Below are 23,891 nucleotides of genomic sequence, written 5' to 3' on the forward strand. Positions count from 1 at the left end.
TTGGGGTGAAGGGACCTTCCAGGTGTTTTTTTTTTTTTCTTTTTAATTTTTTTATTTAGAGACAGGGCCTCGCTATATTAACTGGGCTGGTCTTGAACTGCTGGCCTCAGGGGATCCTCCTGCCTTGGTCTCCCAAAACACTGGGATTACATGTGTGAGCTACCAAGCCCAGCTGGAACTTTCAGTTTAATTGGTAACAACTTGAGCACCTTTTGATGTTACTGTTTTTGGGGGGGTTTTTATTGTTTTATTTAATTAAATTAATGTATTTATTTATTGCTGTCCATTTGCATGGTTTTGTTGTTGTTGTTTGTTTGTTTTTTGTTTTGAGACAGGATCTTACTCTTGCCCAGGCTAGAGTGTAGTGGTACGATTATAGTTCACTACAGCTTCAACTCCTGGGCTCAAGTGATCCTCTCATCCTCAGACTTCCAAAGAGCTGGGATTACAGGCATGAGCCAACACACCTGGCCTTTTTGATGTTATTGTAAGTGGAAGTTTTATCTTCTTTTTTGATTGCGTATTGTTAATGCATAGAAATTTAACTGATTTTTGTGCATTGGCTTTGTATCCTGCTGCTTTGCTGAATTCATTTATTAGCTCTAACATTTTTTGTGTGTGGAATATTTAGGGTTTTCTGCAGATAAGAGCTTATTAGCCAGGTGCCATGGCTCATACCTGTAATCCCAGCACTTTGGGAGGTGGAAGTGGGTGGATAGATTGAGCCCAGGAGTTTGAGACCAGTCTGGACAACGTGGCAAAACCCCATCACTACTAAAACTACAAAAAATTAGCCAGACATGGTGGTATGGTGCCCGTAGTCCCAGTTACTCAGGAGGCCGAGGTGAGGGAATCACCTGAGCCCGGGAAGTCAAGGTTGCAGTGAGCTATGATTGTGTCAGAGGTGTGTGAATCAGAGCAAGTCCGTCGTAAACAGGATCTGGGTAAAATGAGGCTGAAACCTACTGGGCTGCATTCCCAGACGGTTAGGGCATTCTAAATCACAGGATGAGATAGGAGGTCAGCACAAAATACAAGTCATAAAGACCTTGCTGATAACACAGTTTGCAGTGTTGGGCAAGGTGGCCCACGCCTGTAATCCCAGCACTTTGGGAGGCCAAGGTGGGCGGATTGTGAGGTCAGGAGTTTGCGACCAGCCTGGTCAATATAGTGAAACCCCGTCTCTACTAAAAATACAAAAAATTAGCTGGGCATGGTGGCAGGTGCCTGTAATCCCAGCTACTTGGGAGGCTGAGGCAGGAGAATTGCTTGAACCCGGGAGGCGGAGGTTACAGTGAGCCGAGATCTCACCACTGCACTCCAGCCTGGGTGACAGTGCAAGACTCAGTCTCAAAAAACAAACAAACCAACAAACAACAACAACAAAAACCAGGTTGCAGTAAAGGAGCCAGCCAAAACCCACCAAAACCAAAATGGTGACAAGAGTGACCTCTGGTCATCCTCACTCCCACCAGTGCCAGGACAGTTTACAAATGCCATGGCAACATCAGGAAGTTACCCTATACGGTCTAAAAAGGGAAGGCACGAATAATCCACCCCTTGTTTAGCATTTCATCAAGAAATGGCCATGAAAATATGCAACCAGCAGTCCTTGGGGCTGCTCTGTCTATGGAGTAGCCATTCTTCTATTCCTTTACTTTCTTTTTCTTTTTTTGAGGTGGAGTCTCGCTCTGTTGCCCAGGCTGGAGTGCAGTGGTGCGATCTCGGCTCACTGCAAGCTCCACCTCCCGGGTTCACGCCATTCTCCTGCCTCAGCCTCCCAAGTAGCTGGGACTACAGGAGCCTGCCACCATGCTCAGCTAATTTTTTTTTTTTTTGTATTTTTAGTAGAGACGGGGTTTCACCCTGTTAGCCAGGATGGTCTCGATCTCTTGACTTCATGATCTGTCCACCTCGGCCTGCCAAAGTGCTGGGATTACAGGCGTGAGCCACCGTGCCCGGCCCCTCCTTTACTTTCTTAATAAACTTGTTTTCGCTTTGCACCAAGGACTCACCCTGAATTCTTTCTTGCGTGAGATCCAAGAACCCTCTCTTGGGGTCTGGATTGGGACCCCTGTCCTATAACAATCACACCACTGCGCTCCAGCCTGGGCAATGAGAGTGAGACCCTGTCTCTAAATAAATAAATAGCATCTGCAAACAGAGATACTTCTTACTTTCCAATCTGGGTTGCTTTTATTTCTTTTTCTTGCCTAATTTCTCTGGCTAGGACTTCCAGTACTATGTTGAATAGAAATACCAAAAGTGGGCATCCTTCTGCACAAGTTGTCCAAATCAAACTGGAGTCACTTATGCCAAACCCTAGCAAAATGGACTCAGGAGGCCATAAATGAGGGGCTCCCATGCACACATGCCTATGATAGAAAATATTACAAGGACTGTCTGAGGCTGGGCACGGTGGCTCATGCCTGTAATCCCAACACTTTGGGATGCTGAGATGGGCGGATCACCTGAGGTCTGGAGTTCAAGACCAACCTAACATGATGAAACCCCGTCTCTACTAAAAATACAAAATTAGCTGGGTGTGGTGGCACACACCTGTAATCCCAGCTACTCAGGAGGCTAAGGCAGAAGAATTGCTTGAACCTGGGAGGCAGAGGTTGCAGTGAGCCGAGATTGCCCCATTGTACTCCAGCCTGGGCAACAAGAGCAAAACTCCGTCTCAAGAAAAAAAAAAAAACCCAACAACAACAACAACAAAAAACAAGGATTGTCTGAAACCACAATCTTGCACAAAGGCCGTCACACCCATGCACGAAGAATATTTCTGCAATGACACCTGCCCAGCAATTGCCTGTTCAATCTTGGAATAATGCTACCCTTGTTATCAATCCTTGTAGCCAAGGATAATTTTTTCAAAACAACTTACGTAGCCTTCCTCATTTTGCCTTTAAAACCCCTTTCCTTCCTTTTTCTCTCTGAGTGCCCCCCTCCATGGTTCACCATAGTACATGTATTCCCTGGGATGCAACTGTAAACAAGAAAGTATCACAGACAGGTCTCAATCAATTTAGAGGTTTATTTTGCCAAGGTTGCAGGCACACCCAAGAAGAAGAGACACAAGACACAGTATGATCTGTGGCATGCACTTTTTTCCAAAGAAGATTTTGAGGACTTCATTATTTAAAGGGGAAAAAGTGGGCAGGAGGAGAAAGAAGAAAGGGGAAAAAAAGGAAGGTAGACAAGTGAGATAAGCCATTGCATTCTTTTGAGGCTTTGATTAGAGCTCACTGAATCCATACGTTCCATGTGAAAAGGACAGGGTAGAGGAATAGTCAATTACATATTCATCTTGCACTCAGTAAATCTGTACATAAGATAAACAGAGAGTAGAGGAAGAGTTCAAATATGCATTTGTCTGACAGGGGCGTGGGGGGGATGATTTCTAGTCTCCTTTTGTCCCGCACCTGTGAAGATAAGCTGTTAATTTACATTGTCAGGGTGAGGGAGGCCACCTGGGGAGACATGTGGCCTTCTATCTTATACCTATCTGTTTAGGAACAAAAGGAAAGGCAGTTTTTTTGTGTGGCTTAGTTTCCAAGCTTAACTTTTCCTTTTGAGTAGTGAGTTTGAGGTCCTGAGATTTTATTTTCCTTTCACACAATCTGATATGGTTTGGCTGTGTCCCCTCCCAAATCTTATCTTGAATTCCCATATGTTGTAGGAGGGACCCGGTGGGAGGTAAATGAATCATGGAGGCAAGTCTTTCCTGTGCAGTTCTTGTGACAGTGAATAAGTCTTACAAGATCTGATGGTTTTATAAAGAGGAGTTCCCCTGCACAAGCTTTTCTCTCATTTTGCCTGCTGCCATCCATGTAAGACATTAGTTGCTCCTCCTTGCCTTCCACTATGATTGTGTACTTCCCCAGCCACTTGGAACTGTAAGTCCATTAAACCTCTTTCTTTTGTAAATTGCCCAGTCTCAGGAATGTCTTTGTCAGTAGCATGAAAATGGACTAATATACAATTTGTCATTCATTCCCAAGTAATCTCACTTTTTCTTAGAGCCACTCTCCCTGTCGTTATTTTAGGTTGACTCTCTACTTGCTCCTGATCCTAGTGGATGAGCTTTCAGTCTTCCACCATGGAGTATGATGTTTGCTGTGGATTTCTTTTCTTTTCTTTTTTATAGAGCTGGGTCTCACTATGTTGCTCAAGCTGGTCTCAAACTACTGGGCTTAAGTGATCCTCCTGCCTCTGCCTCCCAAAAAGTGTTGGCATTATAGGTGTGAGCCACCATACCTGGCCAGATTTTTCATATATGGCTTTTGTTACATTATATAACTACCTTCTGTTCCTACTTTATTGACTGTTTTTATCATGAAAGGGTGTTGAATTTTGCCAAATGTTTTTTCTGCTCTATTGAGATGATCGCATGGTTTTTTTTTTTTTTTTGAGACGGGGTCTCGCTCTGTCACCCAGGCTGGAGTGCAGTAGCACGATCTCGGCTCACTGCAAGCTCCGCCTCCTGGGTTCACGCCATTCTCCTGCCTCAGCCTCCTGAGTAGCTGGGACTACAGGCGCCCGCCACCACGCCTGGCTAATTTTTTTGTATTTTTAGTAGAGACGGGGTTTCACTGTGTTAGCCAGGATGGTCTCGATCTCCTGACCTCGTGATCCGCCCACCTCGGCCTCCAAAAGTGCTGGAATTACAGGCGTGAGCCACCGTGCCCAGCCGTGTTTTTTAAATTAATTCAGTTAATGCAGTACATTACATTGATTGATTCTTGTATGGTGAACCACCCTTGCATTCTGGGTGTAAACCCCATTGGTCAAGGTACACAATCCTTTTATTGTGCTGTTGAATTCGGTTACTGAGTATTTTGCTGAGGATTTTTGCATCAATGTTCACAAGAGATAATGATCCATAGTTTTCTTTTCTACTAGTGTCTTCTTTTTTTCATGCTATTACTGGGACTTGTAGTGTCTTTATCTGGCTTTGGTATCAGCATAATGCTGGCATCATAGAAAGAGTTAGGAAGTGTTCTCTTCAATTTCTGTGAGAAGTTTGAGAAGAGTTGGTTCTTCTTTAAATGTTTAATGGAATTCACCAGTGAAGCCATTAGATCCTGGGCTTTTCTTTGTCAGGAGATTTTTGATTACCGATCCAATCTCACTAGTTATAGGTTTACTCAGATTTTCTATTTCTTTATGGTTTAGTCTTGATAGGTTTTTGTGTTTCTAGCAATTGTAATGGTGTGATCTCGGCTCACCGCAACCTCCACCTCCCAGGTTCAAGCGATTCTCCCTCCTGCCTCAGCCTTCTGAGTAGCTGGGATTACAGGTGTGTGCCACCACACCTGGCTAATTTTGTATTTTTAGTAGGGACAGGGTTGCTCCATGTTGGTCAGGCTGGTCTCACACTCCCAACCTCAGGTGATCCTCCTGCCTCAGCCTCCTAAAGTGTTGGGATTATAGGCGTGAGCCACCGCGCCCGGCCACAGTAGTCTTTTATAATCCTTATTATTCCGATGGAATCAGTAGCAATGTCCCCATTCTTGTATCTACTTTTAGTGATTTGAATCTTCTTTTTTCTTAGTTAGTTCATCTAGCTAAAGGTTTGTCAATTTTGTTGATCTTTTCAAAGAACCAACTTTCTTTTTTTTAATTTTTTATTATTATTCTTATTTATAGAGATGGAGTTTCACCATGTTGGCCAAGCTAATCTTGAACTCCTGACCTCAAGTGATCTGCCCACCTCAGCCTCCCAAAGTGCTAGGATTACAGGTGTGAGCCACCATGCCCAGATGAAGAACCAACTTTCTATCCTCATAAATTATTTTTGCCCAGACTAGTGGAGTTTTATTCTATGGATGCACAGATTATTATTTGGCTGATGATTTAAAGCTAATTCCTATGCACATTTCTGGAATTCTTGCCCTGCCTAGCTCCCTCTTCTCAGTACTTTACCCTGCAAATCCTAGCCACTTCAACTTCCCCAAACTCCTATCTCTGTCTCTTGCCTCTGTGAGACTGCTGGACTCTGTTTGGGTTCCCCTTACCTTCCTAGCAGCTTAGAAATTCCTTCAGGCGGGCTGGGTACAGTGGCTCACGCCTGTAATCGCAGCACTTTGGGAGGCCGAGGTGGGCGGATCACTTGAGGTCGGGAGTTCGAGACCAGCCTGACCAACATGGAGAAACCCCGTCTCTACTAAAAATACAAAATTAGCCAGGTGTGGTGGCGCATGCCTGTAATCCCAGCTAGTCGGGAGGCTGAGGCAGGAGAATCGCTTGAACCCAGGAGGCAGAGGTTGTAGTGAGCTGAGATCACACCATTGCACTCCAGCCTGGGCAACAAGAGCGAAACTCCATCTCAAAAAAAAAAAAAAGAAAAGAAAAAAGAAATTCCTTCAGGCAGAAAGCGTGGTGTTCTGCTGTGAGCAGATCTAAGCTAACCTACCTCCAAAGGCCAAGGGAGCTGAGAGGCCGAAGAAAGAGGTTGACAAATCCAGTTTATCAGAAAGAAACATTTAATAGAGACTTACAAACAAAAGCCTTGTCTTAGACAGCCACACGGCAGTGGATCTCTGCAACTGCCATCCAGAAATTATCCTTTTTATAGCAAGATTTTAGCCTCAGACCTCTTGTGAAACTCCTGACCACTGGGGAAGTTAAATAAGCTCTTTTTTTTTTTTTTTTTAAGAGACAGGGTCTCACTGTGTTGCCCAGGCTGATCGCAAATTCCTGGGCTCAAGCGATCCTCCCACCTCAGTCTCCCAAAGTGCTGGGATTAAGCCACTGCAAGCCAGCCTAGATAAACATCCTTATGAGAGGTTGTCTCTGGTACAGGCACTGTTTCTTTGCAAGGGGTTATCTCCATTACAGGCATTGTTTCCTGACTTTGCTGCAGGACTGCCTCAGTATATGCACTAGTCAAACATGGGTCATTATGGTGGTTTCCCTTTAAGATAGTGTTACTCTTGCCAGGCAACAGGCTGTTTTCCTACACCTGGAAAATCACAGGGTTCACCCTGTTTGTTTCTCTTCTCTCAGGGATCACAGCCCTGTGCTGCCCATTGCCAATGTCTAAAAACAGGGCCAGGCACGGTGACTCACACCTGTAATCCCAGCACTTTGGGAGGCCGAGGCGGGTGGATCACCTGAGGTCAGGAGTTCAAGACCAGCCTGGCCAACGTGGTGAAACCCTGTCTCTAATAAAAATACTAAATATTAGCTGAGCATGGTGGCAGGAACCTGTAATCCCAGCTCCTTGGGAGGCTGAGGCAGGACAATTGCTTGAACCCGGGAGACAGAGATTGCAGTGAGCCGAGATCGCACTGCCGTACTCCAGTCTGGGTGACAGAGTGAGACTCTGTCTCAAAAAAAAAGGAGGAAAAAAATTAAAAACATTATTTTGAAGACTTGTAGCCAAGAAAAATTAGAATTCGGTCCAAACTGTAAAAAATAATAAAAATTGAAAAACATTAGGCAAGATTAGAATCTAAAAATAGGTGTACTATAGTTTGTGAAACATAATTTTTCTGTCTCCGGTTTCCCATTTTTACTATAGACAAGTCATGGTAGGACTGATTTGCTTTATTATACTTGGCCTGATTATTTGTATACAGTGCAACAAGAATAATTTTTTTTACATAGGCTTTTAAATTGGCTGTGATGGGACTTTGTTCCATAGAAGGAATCTCAGATAAGACTTTTTTAAAACCAAGCCCAGCCATGGATTTATACTATCAAATACCTATGAGTTGGGTGAATTCCTCTCTTCTTGAAGTTCCAAGATAAACTTGTGGCTGCTGGGCCTGTCAGAAAGTAACATTCCTTACTTACCACAGGTCAGGAACCCTGTACAGGGACTGTGTAGACAAGGTAAGAGGCCAGTTTTCCCAAGGTGCTTTTATTGGCTCCATAAGTCAAGTTTGTTTCCTTGAAGGAAAGCATACCATTCTAGTCAGTAACCAGTTTCTCCAATTGTGTCCTGCAATAAATGAAAACAGATTCTTTTTTTTTTTTTTTTGAGACAGAGTTTCGCTCCTGTGGCCCAGGCTGGAGTCCAATGGCATGATCTTGGCTCACCGTAACCTCCGCCTCCCAGGTTCAAGCGATTCTCCTGCCTCAGCCTCCCGAGTAGCTGGGATTACAGGTATGCACCACCAGGCCCAACTAATTTTGTATTTTTAGTAGAGATGGGGTTTCTCCATGTTGGTCAGGCTGGTCGCAAACTTCCAACCTCTGGTGATCTGCCCGCCTCGGCCTCCCAAAGTGCTAGGATTATAGTTGTGAGCCACCACGCTCCCCTGGAAACAGATTCTTATTGTACTGATGCAAATAACTGTATTACCATAAGTTAAGAATAGTCACAAATAGTTTCCAAATTCTGGAGAAATCAGGTAGAGAGAAAAAAATGTGTTCTAAATGTTGTTCACAGGAGTATACTAAATTATTAAAAGCTGTCAATAGCTCAAAAGAAAACTTCCCTTGACTCTGAAAAAACAAAACAAAGGATTAGCAATGTTTTCAACAAAAAGTAAAAAAGATTACATCAGTCTTCTATTAACTCTTTCTATGCAGTTAATTCCTGTTCAGCTTGATATTCATGAACGTTTCACTTCTCCATGAGTCCTGAAAGTTTTATTCTATTCTGATGTCACAATCTCCAAATGTATCAAAAACTTGTATTCAAGAGCACATGTTAGATTTTATAGCTGATTATAAAACCACCTTCTAAAGAGGACCAAAACAAGACAACAATTGTCTGTGGATGACGAAAAGTTTTAGGGCAGCCATAGTCAAAGACACAATTGACAAGGGTATTTGTTACCTCTGTGGCACATTAATGTAACAATTATAATTATAACTGATAAAGTACACTAAGTCATATAATAATTATAGGGGTTTCCCATAATTTTAGAACACATACCAATAACATATTTATACAAATACAGCCCAAAGAAAACCAAACACCATTTCATATTCGACCATGTTTTCTGTATAATTTTTATACCAAATAAGCCAAATTATGTCATTTTTGGACTTTAGGGAATCTAATATTCTAAAGCATTAATTAGGTCGGAAAAAGACATAATTTATAATTTGATTTCAGAAAGTTTGTCAAATATCAAAGGTTGAAAACACTTGATACCACAGGTCATTGTAAAATAAGTCATTCTTTTGACCAAAGTGCTAACTCAAGGATTTCAAAAAAAAAAGGCAAAACCTTCATTCTTTGAGAGAGGAGACTTAATTTTACAAACAATAAGCCCTAATGAAAACAGCATGAAGCCAATTAAATTTGTTTTTCAAAATTTTATAAGCTATCTCTAAAATTTTAATCTTGACCATAAGTTATAACTTCCATAAGCCTTTTATAACCTTTATTAATTAGTTGGTTAATGCTTCAAGAAAACATTGTTAATCTGACACAGGGACCCATATGCTGGTCTTGCATCAGTGTGCATTTGACATTAATGATTAATTTCTAGGGAAGCTGAACTTATTTTATCTCTCAAAATTGGCCTTTACAATCTCACATGCCCACCTCCTCCATGATAGTCCCTGGGCCTTGAGGAGTTCAATGGCTTTAATTTCTGGCCCTGTGTCTCAGGAATGCAGTTTATTTTGACTGGCATCTTCTATCAGGCCTGAAGATGAGGCTTTAATTGATGTCAGTGTTCAACATTTAGCAAGACTTGGTGTCCTTCTTAGATCCAGTAGTCAAAGCCCTTTAACTCAGTGTCACAAGAACTTTAAAAGCCCATACAGAAAGACACGTGAATGTAATAACCTTAAAGTTAAAAAAATTCTTTTTTTTTTTTTTAGACAGAGTCTCGCTCTGTCACCCAGGCTGGAGTGTAGTGGCATGATCTCAGCTCACTGCAACCTCCGCCTTTCCAGGTTTGAGAGATTCTCCTGTCTCAGCCTCTCAAGTAGCTGGGACTACAGGCACGTGTCACCATGCCGACTAATTTTTGTAATATTAGTAGAGACGTGCATGTACCATATTGATCAGGCTGGTCTCAAACTCCTGACCTCAGGTGATCCGCACGCCTCAGCCTCTGAAAGGGCTGGGATTACGGGCATGAACCACCACACCCAGCAAAAAGATTCTTTTAATCTCACTTTTTTTCTAAGCAAACTCAAACTTCATAATAATGGCATAGGAATTGTTTCTGCAAACCATAAAATTTGTTAGGCTAGTTACCAAAAGGCAAAAGAAAAGACCTTCAGCACTGCACTGAATATTATGTTGGAAGAAAACATTTCCTTTACACCTTTAAGAAAACATTGTTAACATCAGTCCACAACAAATAGAACTCAAGGAAAAAAACTTATATGAGCTGAAAAATAAGTTGGAGAGCATTACTGTCTTGCCCTTTAAAAGAGGAGAGAAAACCAAAAATGGTAAGATATAATAGAAGTTGAACTTTGGGTTATAATATTTAAATAGAAGTTGAACTTTGGGTTATAATATTTAAATCTCTTACAGTTTATTAACAATAAATCAATCCCTTAAGAAAGTTCCATTGCTCGTACCAATTATTTACTACATTTTTCATTTACATCAATCCCAGTCTCTAGAAGGACCATTACAATTTCCCTTTAATTAACAGACAACTTGATCATATAAAAGTTTATTTTTTTAAATTATATCCTCTTCTTATGACTCACACAAACTGTTCATGCCATGCTTGGACTTCCTGGTTTGTCCTGAACATCCCTCCCTCCCTCCCTCCCTCCCTTCCTTCCTTCCTCCCTCCCTCCCTCCCTCCCCCTCTCTCTCTCTCTTTTTCTTTCTTTCTTGACAGAGTCTCACTGTGTCACTCAGGCTGGAGTGCAGTGGAACGATCTCAGCTCACTACAACCTCCACCTCCCGGGTTCAAGTGATTCTCGTGCCTCAGCCTCCTGAGTAGCTAGACTTTCAGGCACATGCCACCACACCCAACTCATTTTTTATAAATTTAGTAGAGACGGAGTTTCACCATATTGGCCAGGCTGGTCTTGAACTCCTGACCTCAGGTGATCCACCCACCTCGGCCTCCCAAAGTGCTGGGATTACAGGTGTGAGCCACTGCGCCCAGCCAAACACCCCCTCTTTCTTAAACAACAGGTCATTTTATTCTAGGACTAAACTTACAATACAAGGTTCTTGCTCATATAAAATTGTTTCTCATGGCTGGGCACAGTGGCTTATGTCTGTATTTGGGAGGCCAAGGCAGGAGGATCACCTGAGGTCAGGAGTTCAAGACCAGCCTAGCCAACATGGTGAAACCCTGTCTCTACTAAAAATACAAAAATTAGCCAGGGGTGGTAGCAGGCACCTGTAATCCCAGCTACTTGGGAGGCTGAAACAGGAGAATCGCTTGAACCTGGGAGGTGGACATTGCAGTGAGCTGAGATCACACCAATGCACTCCAGCCTGGGTAACAAGAGCAAAACTCCATTTCAAAAAAAAAAAAAAATTATCTTTAAGCCTTCTTACCAAAAAAAACCAGCCAAACAAACAAAATAAAACTCTTTATTTTTATAACTTTCTTTACATCTCTCTTATTTCCTGGTTTCTTTTACCTTTTTAATATATAGCCATATAACCTTTAAATAAGCTTTGAATTAGACAAAAATTGTTCTCCTTTTTAAAAAAGACATCTTTTTTTTTTTTTTTTTTTTTTTTAGAAACAATGTTTTCTGGCCAGACGCAGTGGTTCACACCTGTAATCCCAGCACTGTGAAAGGCCGAGGTGGGCAGATCACTTGAGGTCAGGAGTTCGAGAACAGCCTGGGCAACATGGTGAAACCCGGTCTCTACTAAAAATACAAAAATTAGCTGGGCATGGTGGCTGGTGCCTGTAATCCCATTTACTTGGGAGGCTGAGACAGGAGAATTGCTTGAACCCAGGAGGCAGAGGTTGCAGTGAGCCAAGATCACGTCACTGCACTCCAGCCTGGGTGACACAGCAAGGCTGTCTCAAAAAAAAGAAGTACATCTTATAGATTCATAAAAATCTTTTTATTTTCCTATCTTAGACCTTCAAATTCTTGATAACCTGTTTCACTGCCCTAGGCAATTGTCAGCTAAATTGCCTTAAAGTTATGTATTAAAGGAAACAACTCAGGTTAAAATCAAATAGCAAAATTTAGATCATAAGGTACGGAGAAAAAAGTATAGTGTGCTAGAGGGAAATTAAAACAGATTTAATTGCCAATTGAACATAAAATTATAGACATTATAAAGGCCTTTTAAATATATACACACACACATACACAAAGATCCTACAGCTTTTACTTCAGAACTTTAGCCATGAGATAAATACAAATTCACCAGCTTGCGAAAAGAACCTGTTGGATCCAAACAATGGTTTTTATTTTAATAGAAAAATAACAGTAGACTTAAAGCAGGCAGCAAATAAAATAGAGAAAAAGAGGACCTTGGAACTCTATAGTTTGCAGGTCGACCTTAGGGCTCTTTTTCCTTAATGTAACTGTGCATAAAGACCATATTATTTTCATTTTACATAAATTCTGGCAAGTAGAGGTGCCATAAAACCTATGCAGTGCTCTCAAGGGGGTCACTTTCCTCGTTTTCTTCTCATTCTTAGATTATTTGTTTCCCACTTTTTTTTTTTTTCCTTAAAAGGAGGCGCTGCGCTGTGGCATAGGGTTTTTGTGTGGTGGATGGATGCGTACTGCTTGTGAGCAGGACTCCACAGTGTGTCACCACTGAGTTGTTTCCACCCTCTGTTTCTCTCTCCAGAGGTCTATGACCTCTGAAAGGGCTCAGAAGGCTGAGTGTCAGCTCTTATATGAGTTTCTTAGACAAGCCTTTTTTTTAATTAATTTTTGTTGGGGATTTCCCTGTGGGGCCACTGCACATCACAGGGGCTGAATCCCCCCAGACACTCCCACGAGGCCCCCAGTCACCCAAGGGTCCCTTTCGGCGGGGGGGAGCAAATGCCCTTTCTCTTAGGTGCTGAGAAAACTTAGTCTCTCATTTACCTATGAAAACAACAGTTCAGTTCCTCACACAAATATGCACAGAGAAGCCAAGTTTGGATTAATTTTGAGAGCATCTCTGAACTAGAATTAGGATCCTTAAACAATTTCCTAGGAGAGCAAAAAAAAACCAACAGCCAAGACCACTTCCTGTAAACTGTGCTCAGCCACCCCTACTTTGTAGCTCTCATCCGCCATTACACACACCAAGGTCAAATCCTCTCACAGTATAAGGTAATCTCTGGTACCCCCAAAGCCCAAGAGGTCAGGGCATACAATACAGGAAAACAGAGCTTTAGACCTAAGAAAAATCTGCTCTTGACTCTTAAAACTCCACAGAGAAAATAGAACACCTCAAAAAGGGTGAGTGGTGCCTTTGTTTGAATTATTTAAAGAGGATTAAGTCATTGGAAGCCTTTTCTAGATTTTTTGGTAGTGCGGATGGCAAAGAGGGAAGCAGGTACAGGGTGGAAGAAAAGTAAATAAAAAAATTATTTTTGGTTGGGTGCAGTGGTTCATCCCTGTAATCCCAGCACTTTGGGAGGCCAAGGCAGATGGATCATTTGAGGTCAGGAGTTTGAGACCATCCTGGCCAACGTGGTAAAACCCCGTCTCTACTAAAAATACAAAAATTAACTGGGTGTGGTGGCACACGCCTGTAGTCCCAGCTACTTAGGAGGTTGAGGCAGAAGAATCGCTTGAATCTGGGAGGCAGAGGTTGCAGTGAGCCGAGATCGCACCACTGCACTCCAGCCTGGGTGACAGAGTGAGACTCCATCTAAAAAATAAAAATACAAATACAAAAATTAGCCGGGCCTTAGTGGTGTGCGCCTGTAATCGCAGCTACTCGGGAGGCTGAGGCAGGAGAATCGCTTGAACCCGGGAGGCAGAGGTGGCAGTGAGCCCAGATCACGCCACTGCACTCCAGTCTGGGTGACAGAATGAGAGACCCTGTCCCCCCTGCCAAAAAAAAAAAAAAGAGTTTTTTTTTTTTAAGACAGAAAGCAAACACAGAAACCAAGCACATGATTTTTGGGGGTTTTTTGTTTTTTTGTTTTCCCTCTTTTGCAGCTGCAAGAAATGTTAGCCAAATTAAAGAGGCTTTGTTACCCATAATTTGGAATTTGCACTTGGATTTGACAAAGTCACATAGAGTTGGTCAAATCTAATGGGAGAAAGACTAGAACATACAACAATAACAACAAACCCAACACTATGGTCACTGAGCACGCTAATGGTAAAGAGAAATTAAGATCAGCTGGTTGTTAAACTTTAGCCAAGACAAAACCACAATTCAGCTACTTACCTAGGGATGGGTCTCAGGCTGAAGACTACTCTCTACCATGCTAGAAGCAGGAAAAAACTCAAACTCATCTTCCCTGCTGGGAGCGAGCTCAAACTCCATAAAGGAATTACCTGCCTTTAAATCATCATGGAAGCAGGAAATCTTGCCTTCTTGTTGGAAGCAAGCAAAACTGCAAACAAGGGAGTTGCACAGCAAAATAAACTTTAGATCTCCACCAAATTTTGGGAAATCAGGGATTCTCTGGAGGGGGTGCATCCAGGCCTCAGCAAGCTGTCCTATTGGTTTGAGCCATAAAGGTAGCTCATGCTGGTCCCAAGCACTGATAGGAGATTTGCCAAAGGTCAGGGGCATCTCCACTCAGAATCCTTCCACGGTTACCAAAACGTGAACCCTGAATACCTGAGACAGGTCTTAGTTAATATAGAAAGTTTATTTTGCCAAGGTTGAGGACACGCGCCTGTGACACAGCCTCAGGAGGTCCTGACGACATACGCCCAAGGTGGTCAGGGCAGAGTTTAGTTTTATACATTTTAGGGAGACATGAGACATCAATCAACACATTTACATATGAACATTGGTTCAGTCCAGAAAGGTGGGACAACTTGAAGCAAAGGTGGGACAACTCCATGGGGAGGGGGCTTCCAGGTCATAGGTAGATAAGAGACAAATGGTTGCATTCTTTTGAGTTTCTGAGTAGCCTCTTCAAAGCAGGCAATCGGATATGCGTGTATGTCAGTGAGCAGAGGGGTGACTGAATAGAATGGGAAGCAAGTTTCTCCCAAGCAATTCCCAGCTTGACCTTTTCCCTTTAGCTTAGCGATCTGGGGGCCCCAAGATTTATTTTCCTTTCGCAGCCCCTGAACTATGAAACACACGTCTATGAAGATGGAGATGTTCTGAGGCTCCTGGGACCCTTGGTACGTCCTAGCTGGTGCTGGATGGGGTGCAGCTGGAGAATCGCTTGAACCCGGGAGGTGGAGGTTGCAGTGAGCCAAGAGTGCACTCCAGCCTGGGCGACAGAGTGAGACTGCGTCTCAAAAAAAGAAAGAACTACAAAATGTTGTTGAGAGAAGTTAAATAAGGTCTAAGTAAATAGAAAGATATACCTTATTTATGGATTAGAAGAGTCAATAATAAGATGTAAATTCTTGGAAGGAACCTGGGGGAAAAAAAAGATGCAATAAAACTCCCAGCAGTCTTTAAAAAATAAAAGAAAGACCTCTCCCTCTCCCCATCCCCCTCCCCCTCCCCCTCCCCCTCCCCCTCCCTCCTCTCCCTCTCCCTCTCCCTCTCCCTCTCCCTCTCCCTCTCCTTCTCCCTCTCCCTCTCCCCTTTCCACGGTCTCCCTCTGATGCCGAGCCGAAGCTGGACTCTCCCTCTTTCCACGGTCTCCCTCTGATGCCGAGCCGAAGCTGGACTGTACTGCTGCCAACTCGGCTCACTGCAACCTCCCTGCCTGATTCTCCTGCCTCAGCCTGCCGAGTGCCTGCGATTGCAGGCGCGCACCGCCACGCCTGACTGGTTTTCGTATTTTTTTGGTGGAGACGGGGTTTCGCTGTGTTGGCCGGGCTGGTCTCCAGCTCCTGACCGCAAGTGATCCGCCAGCCTCGGCCTCCCGAGGTGCCGGGATTGCAGACGGAGTCTCGTTCACTCAGTGCTCAATGGTGCCCAGGCTGGAGAGCAGTGGCGTGATCTCGGCTCGCTACAACCTCCACATCCCAGCCGCCTGCCTTGGCCTCCCAAAGTGCCGAGATTGCAGCCTCTGCCCGGCCGCCACCCCGTCTGGGAAGTGAGGAGCGTCTCTGCCTGGCCCCCCATCGTCTGGGACGTGAGGAGCCCCTCTGCCTGGCTGCCCAGTCTGGAAAGTGAGGAGCATCTCTGCCCGGCCGCCATCCCATCTAGGAAGTGAGGAGTGCCTCTTCCCGGCCGCCATCCCATCTAGGAAGTGAGGAGCATCTCTGCCTGACCTGCCCATCGTCTGAGTGGGGAGCGCCTCTGCCCCGCTGCCCAGTCTGGGATGTGAGGAGCGCCTCTGCCCGGCCGCGACCCCGTCTGGGAGGTGAGGAGCGTCTCTGCCCGGCCGCCCCGTCTGAGAAGTGAGGAGACCCTCTACCTGGCAACCACCCCGTCTGAGAAGTGAGGAGCCCCTCCGCCCGGCAGCCACCCTGTCTGAGAAGTGAGGAGCCCCTCCGCCCGGCAGCCACCCCATCTGAGAAGTGAGGAGCCCCTCCGCCTGGCAGCCACCCCGTCTGGAAAGTGAGGAGCGTCTCCGCCCGGCAGCCACCCCGTCCGGGAGGGAGGTGGGGGTCAGCCCCCGCCAGGCCAGCCGCCCCTTCCGGGAGGTGAGGGGCGCCTCTGCCCGGCCGCCCCTACTGGGAAGTGAGGAGCCCCTCTGCCCGGCCAGCCGCCCCGTCCGGGAGGGAGGTGGGGGGTCAGCCCCCGACCCGGCCAGCCGCCCCGTCTGGGAGGTGAGGGGCGCCTCTGCCCGGCCGCCCCTACTGGGAAGTGAGGAGCCCCTCTGCCCGGCCACCACCCCGTCTGGGAGGTGTACCCAGCAGCTCATTGAGAACGGGCCATGATGACAATGGTAGTTTTGTGGAATAGAAAGGGGGGAAAGGTGGGGAAAAGATTGGGAGATCGGATGGTTGCCGTGTCTGTGTAGAAAGAAGTAGACATGGGAGACTTTTCATTTTGTTCTGTACTAAGAATTCTTCTGCCTTGGGATCCTGTTGATCTGTGACCTTGCCCCCAACCCTGTGCTCTCTGAAACATGTGCTGTGTCCACTCAGGGTTAAATGGATTAAGGGCGGTGCAAGATGTGCTTTGTTAAACAGATGCTTGAAGGCAGCATGCTCGTTAAGAGTCATCACCACTCCCTAATCTCAAGGACCCAGGGACACAAACACTGCGGAAGGCCACAGGGTCCTCTGCCTAGGAAAACCAGAGACCTTTGTTCACTTGTTTATCTGCTGACCTTCCCTCCACTATTGTCCTATGACCCTGCCAAATCCCCCTCTGTGAGAAACACCCAAGAATGATCAATAAAAAATATATATTAAAAAATAATAATAAAAAAAAGAAAAGAAAGAAATTGACAAACTGATTCTAAAATTTGTTCAGAAATGTAAAGGACCTAAAATAGCCAAAACAATTTTAGAAAAGAGCAAAGCTGGATAACTAACAACCTGATTTCAAGATTTTGTTTTTTTGTGTTTTGTTTTTTGTTTTTGAGATGGAGTTTCACTCTATCGCCAGGCTGGAGTGCAGTGGCGCGATCTCACCTCACTGCAACCTCCAACTCCCTGGTTCAAGCCATTCTCCTGCCTCAGCCTCCCGAGTAGCTGGGACTACAGGCACGCACCACCACACCCAGCTAATTTTTGTATTTTTAGTAGAGACGGGGTTTGACCATTTTGGCCAGGACGGTCTCGATCTCCTGACCTCGTGATCTACCCACCTCAGCCTCCTGAAGTGTTGGGATTACAGGCATGAGCCACTGTGCCCAACGTCAAGATGTTCTATATAGCTACGGTAATCAAGACAGAATGGTATTGGCATCAAGATAAACAGATAAATAACGAGAATAGAGTCTAGAAGTCTTACACATGTACAGACCACTGCAACAAAGTTACAAAGGCAATTCAGTGGAGAAGGATAGTCATCATCATTATCATTATTAATATTTTAGAGACAGGGTCCCACTCTGTTGCCCAGGTTGGAGTGCAGTGGTGCGATCCTAGCTCACTGCAGCCTCCGCCTCCTGGGCTCAAGTGATTCCCTCACCTCAGCCTCCTGAGTAGCTGGGACTACTGGCACACGCCACCACACCCAGCTAACAGTATACTTTTTGATGCTTAAATTTCCCAGTCTTTGGCCAGTGGAAGCCTCTTCAAACTTGTTCCAATGTCATTAACATTCTGATGTTTTGATGTTTCAGGTAACAACTTTATTGCTTTCTGGTACAGCAAGGTGTTTGTGGCTCATCCTCTACATGTCCTGCCCCAGACTGGAATTAATCATTTCTTCAAAGGGTTTTGTAACCTTTGAGTGGGAAATGGTATTTAGAAAACACTAGGTGGGCACCTCAGGCATTAATTTTTTTTTTTTTTTTTTTGAGACGGGGTCTTGCTCAGTAGCCCAGGCTGGAGTACAGTGGTGCGATGTCGGCCCATTGCAACCTCCACCTCCCAGGTTCAGGTAATTTTCCCACCTCAGCCTCCTGAGTAGCTGGGATTATAGGCACACATCACCATGCCCAGCTAATTTTTGCATTTTTTTGAGTAGAGACGGGGTTTCACCATGTTGGCCAGACTGGTCTCGAACTCCTGACCTCAGGTGATCCACCCTCCTTGTCCTCTCAAAGTGCTGGGATTATAGGCGTGAGCCACTGCACCTAGCCTGATTATTTCTTATAAACCTCTTTAGTCAAGAAAACTAGGAAATACAGTTTCTGTTTGAAAAAGAAAACGCACTGTAGTCTTACTGTCTTACTGATATTTCTTTTTTTTTTTTTTTTTTTGAGACAGAGTCTTGCTCTGTCGCCCAGGCTGGAGTGCAGTGGCGCGATCTCGGCTCACTGCAAGCTCCGCCTCCCAGGTTCACGCCATTCTCGTGCCTTAGCCTCCCGAGTAGCTGGGATTACAGGCACCCACCACCTCGCCCAGCTAATTTTTTGTATTTTTAGTACAGATGGGGTTTCACCGTGTTAGCCAGGATGGTCTCCATCTCCTGACCTCGTGATTTGCCCACCTCAGCCTCCCAGAGTGCTGGGATTACAGGCTTGAGCCACGGCGCCTGGCCTCTTACTGAAATTTCTAATTTAAATTTAAAATAATGTTTTTACTTAATCTCTTTGATTTTAGATCTATGTATTTTTTCTTTCACCAAAAATCTTGGTTCCAATGCATAACATATTTACTCTTTTTTGCTGTCTCCATATATACACAGTAGTCCCTTATAATTCTTGGTTTCACTTTCCATGGTTACAGTTACTTGTGGTCAACCACAGTCTGAAAATATTAAATGGAAAATTCCAGAAATAAACAATTCATAAGTTTTGAATTGAGGAGCGTGATGAAATCTTGCATCCTCCCGTTCCATCCTGTATGGGATGTGAGTCGCCCCTTTGTCCAGCGTCTCCATGCTGTATACACTCCCCACCCATCAGTCACTTTGCAGTTGATCTGATAACTCTGCAGTTAACAGATCAATTGTTGCGGTTCTCAGTGCTTTTGTTCAGGTTCCCCTTATTTTACTTAATATTGGTCTCAAAGCTTAGAGTAGTGATGCTGGCAGCTCAGATACGCCAAAGAGAAGCCATACATTCCTTTCTTTAAGTGTAAAGGTGAACGTTCTTGATTTAATAAGGAAAGAAAAAAATTGTATGCTGAGGTTGCTAAGATCTATGATAGAAACAAATCTATCCATGAAACTGTCAAGAAGGAAAACGAAATTTGTGCCAGTTTTGCTGTCACACCCCAAACTGCAAAAGTTACACCGCAGTATGTGTTAAGTGCTTAGTTCAGATGGAAAAGGCATTACATTTGTGGGTGGGAGAGATGAACAGAAACAAGCTTCAAGTGACAGCATTCAGATTTGGTACTATTCGTGGTTTCAGGACCCACTGGGAGTATATATTTAAGTGCATGCCTGTGTGTGTGTGTGTGTGTGTGTGTGTGTGTGTGTGTGTGTGTGTGTGTAGCAATATCAGGCTGGGCGCAGTGGCTCACGCCTGTAAATCCCAGCACTCTGGGAGGCTGAGGCAGGCAGATCACTTGAGGTCAGGAGTTCGAGACCAGCCTGGCCAACATGGTGAAACGCTGTCTCTACTAAAAACTAGCCGGGCATGGTGGCGTGCGCCTGTAGTCCTAGCTACCTGGGAGGCTGAGGTGGGAGAATCACTTGAACCCGGGAGGTGGAGGTTGCAGTAAGCTGAGATCACACCATTGCACTCCAGCCTGGGCAACAGAGCAAGACCCTGTCTCAAAAAAGAAACAAAAAACAAAACAAAACAAAAATAAATAAAATCACAATATCAATATTATTACTGACACTAGGATTATTTAAAACCATTTCAGATTTCTTTGCTTTTCTTTTTGTTCTCAGGATATAACCTATAAGGAGTATATAGGTCAGACGTGGTGCCTCATGCCTGTAACCCCAGCACTTTGAGAGGCCGAGGCAGGCAGATCACCTGAAGTCAAGAGTTCAAGACCAGCCTGGCCAACATGGTGAAACCCTGTCCCTACAAAAATACTAAAGTTAGCTGGGCATGATGACAGGCGCCTGTAATCCCAGCTACTCGGGAGGCTGAGGTGGGAGAATCGCTTGAACCTGGGAGACGGAGGTTGCAGTGAGCCAAGATCACACCATTGCACTCCAGCCTGGGTGACAGCACGAGACTCCGTCTCAAAAAAAAAAGGAATACATAGACATTACCGTATGGCTTTTTGTTTTTGTTTTTTATTTTTTGAGATGGAGTCTCATTCTGTTGCGCAGGCTGGAGTGCAATGGCGCAATCTTGGCTCACTGCAACCTCCGCTTCCCGGGTTCAAGTAATTCTCTTGCCTCAGCCTCCCGAGTAGCTGGGATTACAGGCATGTGCCACCACACCTGGCTAATTTTCTCATTTTAGTAGAGACGGGGTGTCACCATGTTGGCCAGGCTGGTCTCAAACTCCTGACCTCAGGTGATTTGCCTGCCTTGGCCTCCCAAAGTGCTGGGGTTACAGCCGTGAGCCACCGCGCCCGGCCACATTACTGTGTTTTAAGTTCACTTGAATTTGTTATTTTTGGCTGGGCTCGGTGGCTCACGCTTGTAATCCCAGTACTTTGGCACTTGGAAAGGCTGAGGCAGGCGGATCACCTGAGGTCAGGAGTTCGAAACCAGCCTGGCCAACATGGTGAAATCCTGTCTCTACTAAAAATACAAAAATTAGCCAGGCATGGTGGTGGTGCGCACCTGTAATCCCAGCTACTTGGGAGGCTGAGGCAGGAGAATCTCTTGAACTCAGGAGGCAGATTTCAGTGAGCTGAGATCATGCCACTGCACTCTAGCCTGGGTGACAGAATGAGTGAGACTCCATTCAAAAAAAAAAAATTCCTTATTTTCTCTGTGGTTGGGTCACTAATTTGATATTTAATATCGTAGAGAATATAGCCTGACTGAAAGCTCACATGCTTATACTTTACTGGGGAGAGTGATTTCAGGGAATCAGGCCTGAGGGAACAGGAAAGTGAGGCAAGGAAAACGAGAGGGCTAATTCGAGGGGCTGCCTACTGCTTGGTGCTAAGTGTGTTGGTCAATCCCATGGTCTATTCCCAGAGAGCCAACATGAACGACTGCAACACGAGACAGCTCACCACACAGCAGGAGATGACAAGATGTTATCCGGTGGCTCCTGTCAACAAATCAACTCAAATAAATGAGTCAGGCATGGTGGTATTTGCCTGTGGTCTCAGCTACTTGTGAAGCTGAGGTCGGAGGATTACTTGAGCCCACGAGTTTAAGACCAACACCGGCAACTTAGGGAGACCCTGCCTGTATACAAAATACAAATAAAAAAAATTAAGAGGGCATGGTGGCACACACCTGTGGTCCCAACTATTTGGGAGGCTGAAGTGGGAGGACTGCTTGAGTCCCTGAGGTCAGGACTACAGTAAGCCGTGATCACACCATGCACTCCAGCCTAAGAGACAGAATGAGACCCTCTCTCTCTCTCTTTTTTTTTTTTTTTCTGTGAGACAGAGTTTTATTCCTGTCACCCAGGCTGGAGTGCAGTGGCGCAATCACGGCTCACTGCAGCCTTGACCTCTGGGGCTCAAGCGAATCCTCCTGCCTTGGCCTCCTGAGTAGCTGAGACTGTTAATGGTGGAGGAGTTCCAGGTTTTTGGCATCTTGAACAAAGAATTGGACAAAATACACAAAGAAACAAGGAAAGAATGAAGGGATTTACTGAAAATGAAAGTACACTCCACAGTGTGGGAGCAGGCCCAAGTACAGAGGCTCAAGGACCCCATTACAGAATTTTTGGGAGTTTAACTATCCCCTAGAGGATTCCATTGGTTACTTCGGGTACACCCTATGAAAATGGAGAGAATGAAGTAAAGTTACAAAGTTATTTACAACATATGCCCTATGGAGAGGATATTTCCTGTTATAGCTGAAGTGTAAATCGGCCTTATGTTCCCTGCCTCCAGACCCTATTTTCCTGCCCCAGGACTATCAGCATGTGCCACTGTGCCCAGCTAATGTTTGTATTTTTTGTAGAGAGGAGGTTTCACCATGTTGCCCAGGCTGGTCTTGAACTCCCAGCCTCAAGGAATCCACCCTCCTCAGCCTCCCAAAGTGTTGGGATTATAGGCATGAGCCACTGTGCCCAGCTGAGATACTATCTAAAATAAATAAATAAATATATAAATTCCACTGACAAAGATTGTCTTTTTTTTTTTGAAACGGAATCTCTCTCTGTTGCCCAGGCTGGAGTGCAGTGGCGTGATCTTGGCTCACTGCAACCTCCACCTCCTGCGTTCAAGCGATTCTCCTGCCTCAGCCTCCCGAGTATTTGGGACTACAGGCACCCACCACCACATCCGGCTGATTTTTGTGTTTTTATTAGAGATGGAGTTTCATCATGTTGGCCAGACTGGTCTCAAACTCCTGACCTCGGGTGATCTGCCCGCCTCGGCCTGCCAAAGTGCTGGGATTACAGGCGTGAGCCACCACGCCCGGCCAAGGATTGTCTTTTTTAAAAAAGAGAGACTTCATTCCAGTGAACAGTTTGCAAACCAGAGAGATGCATCCTTCAGTGAAAACAAAGGTGCCTTCTGAGAGAACAAAGAGAGGGGTTGTCTTTTACAAAGAAAGCTCTGCCCATGTTCTCACTATGGTCCACTTATGCAAACGAGGGATGCAATCTTTGACTGATGCTTGTTGTATTCTGATTTGTCGATACAGGTCATAGTCTACTGATTAGGTCTGTGTCTTGGTCTGTTTGTGTTGCTCTAAAGGAATGCCCAAGACTGCATAATTTATAAAGAACAGAGGGTTATTAGGCTCACGGTTCTGCAGGCTGTACAAGAAGCATGGCACCAGCATCTGCCTCTGATGAGGGCCTCAGGAAGTTTCCACTTATGACAAAAGGTGAAGGGGAACAGGCTTGTGCAGATAACATGGAGAGAGAAGAGGCAAGAGAGAGGGGAGGAGGTGCCATGCTCTTTTCAACAATCAGTTATCTTGAGAGCTAAGAGTGAGACCTGCCTCCCTCCCACAAGAACAGCATCAAGTTATTAATGAGGGATCCACCCCTATCACCCAAGCACCTCCCACATGGCCCCACCTCCAACATAGGGGATCAAACTTCAACATGAGACTTGGCGGAGCCAAACAAACCATATTCAAACAATAGTAGTTCAGGAGGCGAAATGGGATTTTCCAACAGTCGTTATTTCTGGCAGGATGAACAAGAACAGACAGCTATGAAAGTCCCAACATTACATGAGCATGTGGGTTCCTGGGAATGCAGGATACGTGGGTGACCTAGAGTCAGTGAATGGCCGCTTGGCTGTATTTTGAATTCAGGCCCACTTAGCCACTCAGGATCCATCTTGAAGGACTGGCTCT

General features: G+C 45.0%; 1 annotated feature.

Moving 5' to 3' along the window:
• Positions 16,666–17,412: an enhancer, noted in NCBI's record as "NANOG-H3K27ac hESC enhancer chr5:175861163-175861909 (GRCh37/hg19 assembly coordinates)". NCBI's record gives its function as "activates a minimal SCP1, AML or CMV promoter by ChIP-STARR-seq in primed H9 embryonic stem cells {active_cell/tissue: H9 hESC(primed)}" and the evidence as "EXISTENCE:reporter gene assay evidence [ECO:0000049][PMID:30033119]".

The sequence above is a fragment of the Homo sapiens genome, chromosome 5 (assembly GCF_000001405.40).
Source record: "Homo sapiens chromosome 5, GRCh38.p14 Primary Assembly".
Classification (NCBI taxonomy): domain Eukaryota; kingdom Metazoa; phylum Chordata; class Mammalia; order Primates; family Hominidae; genus Homo; species Homo sapiens.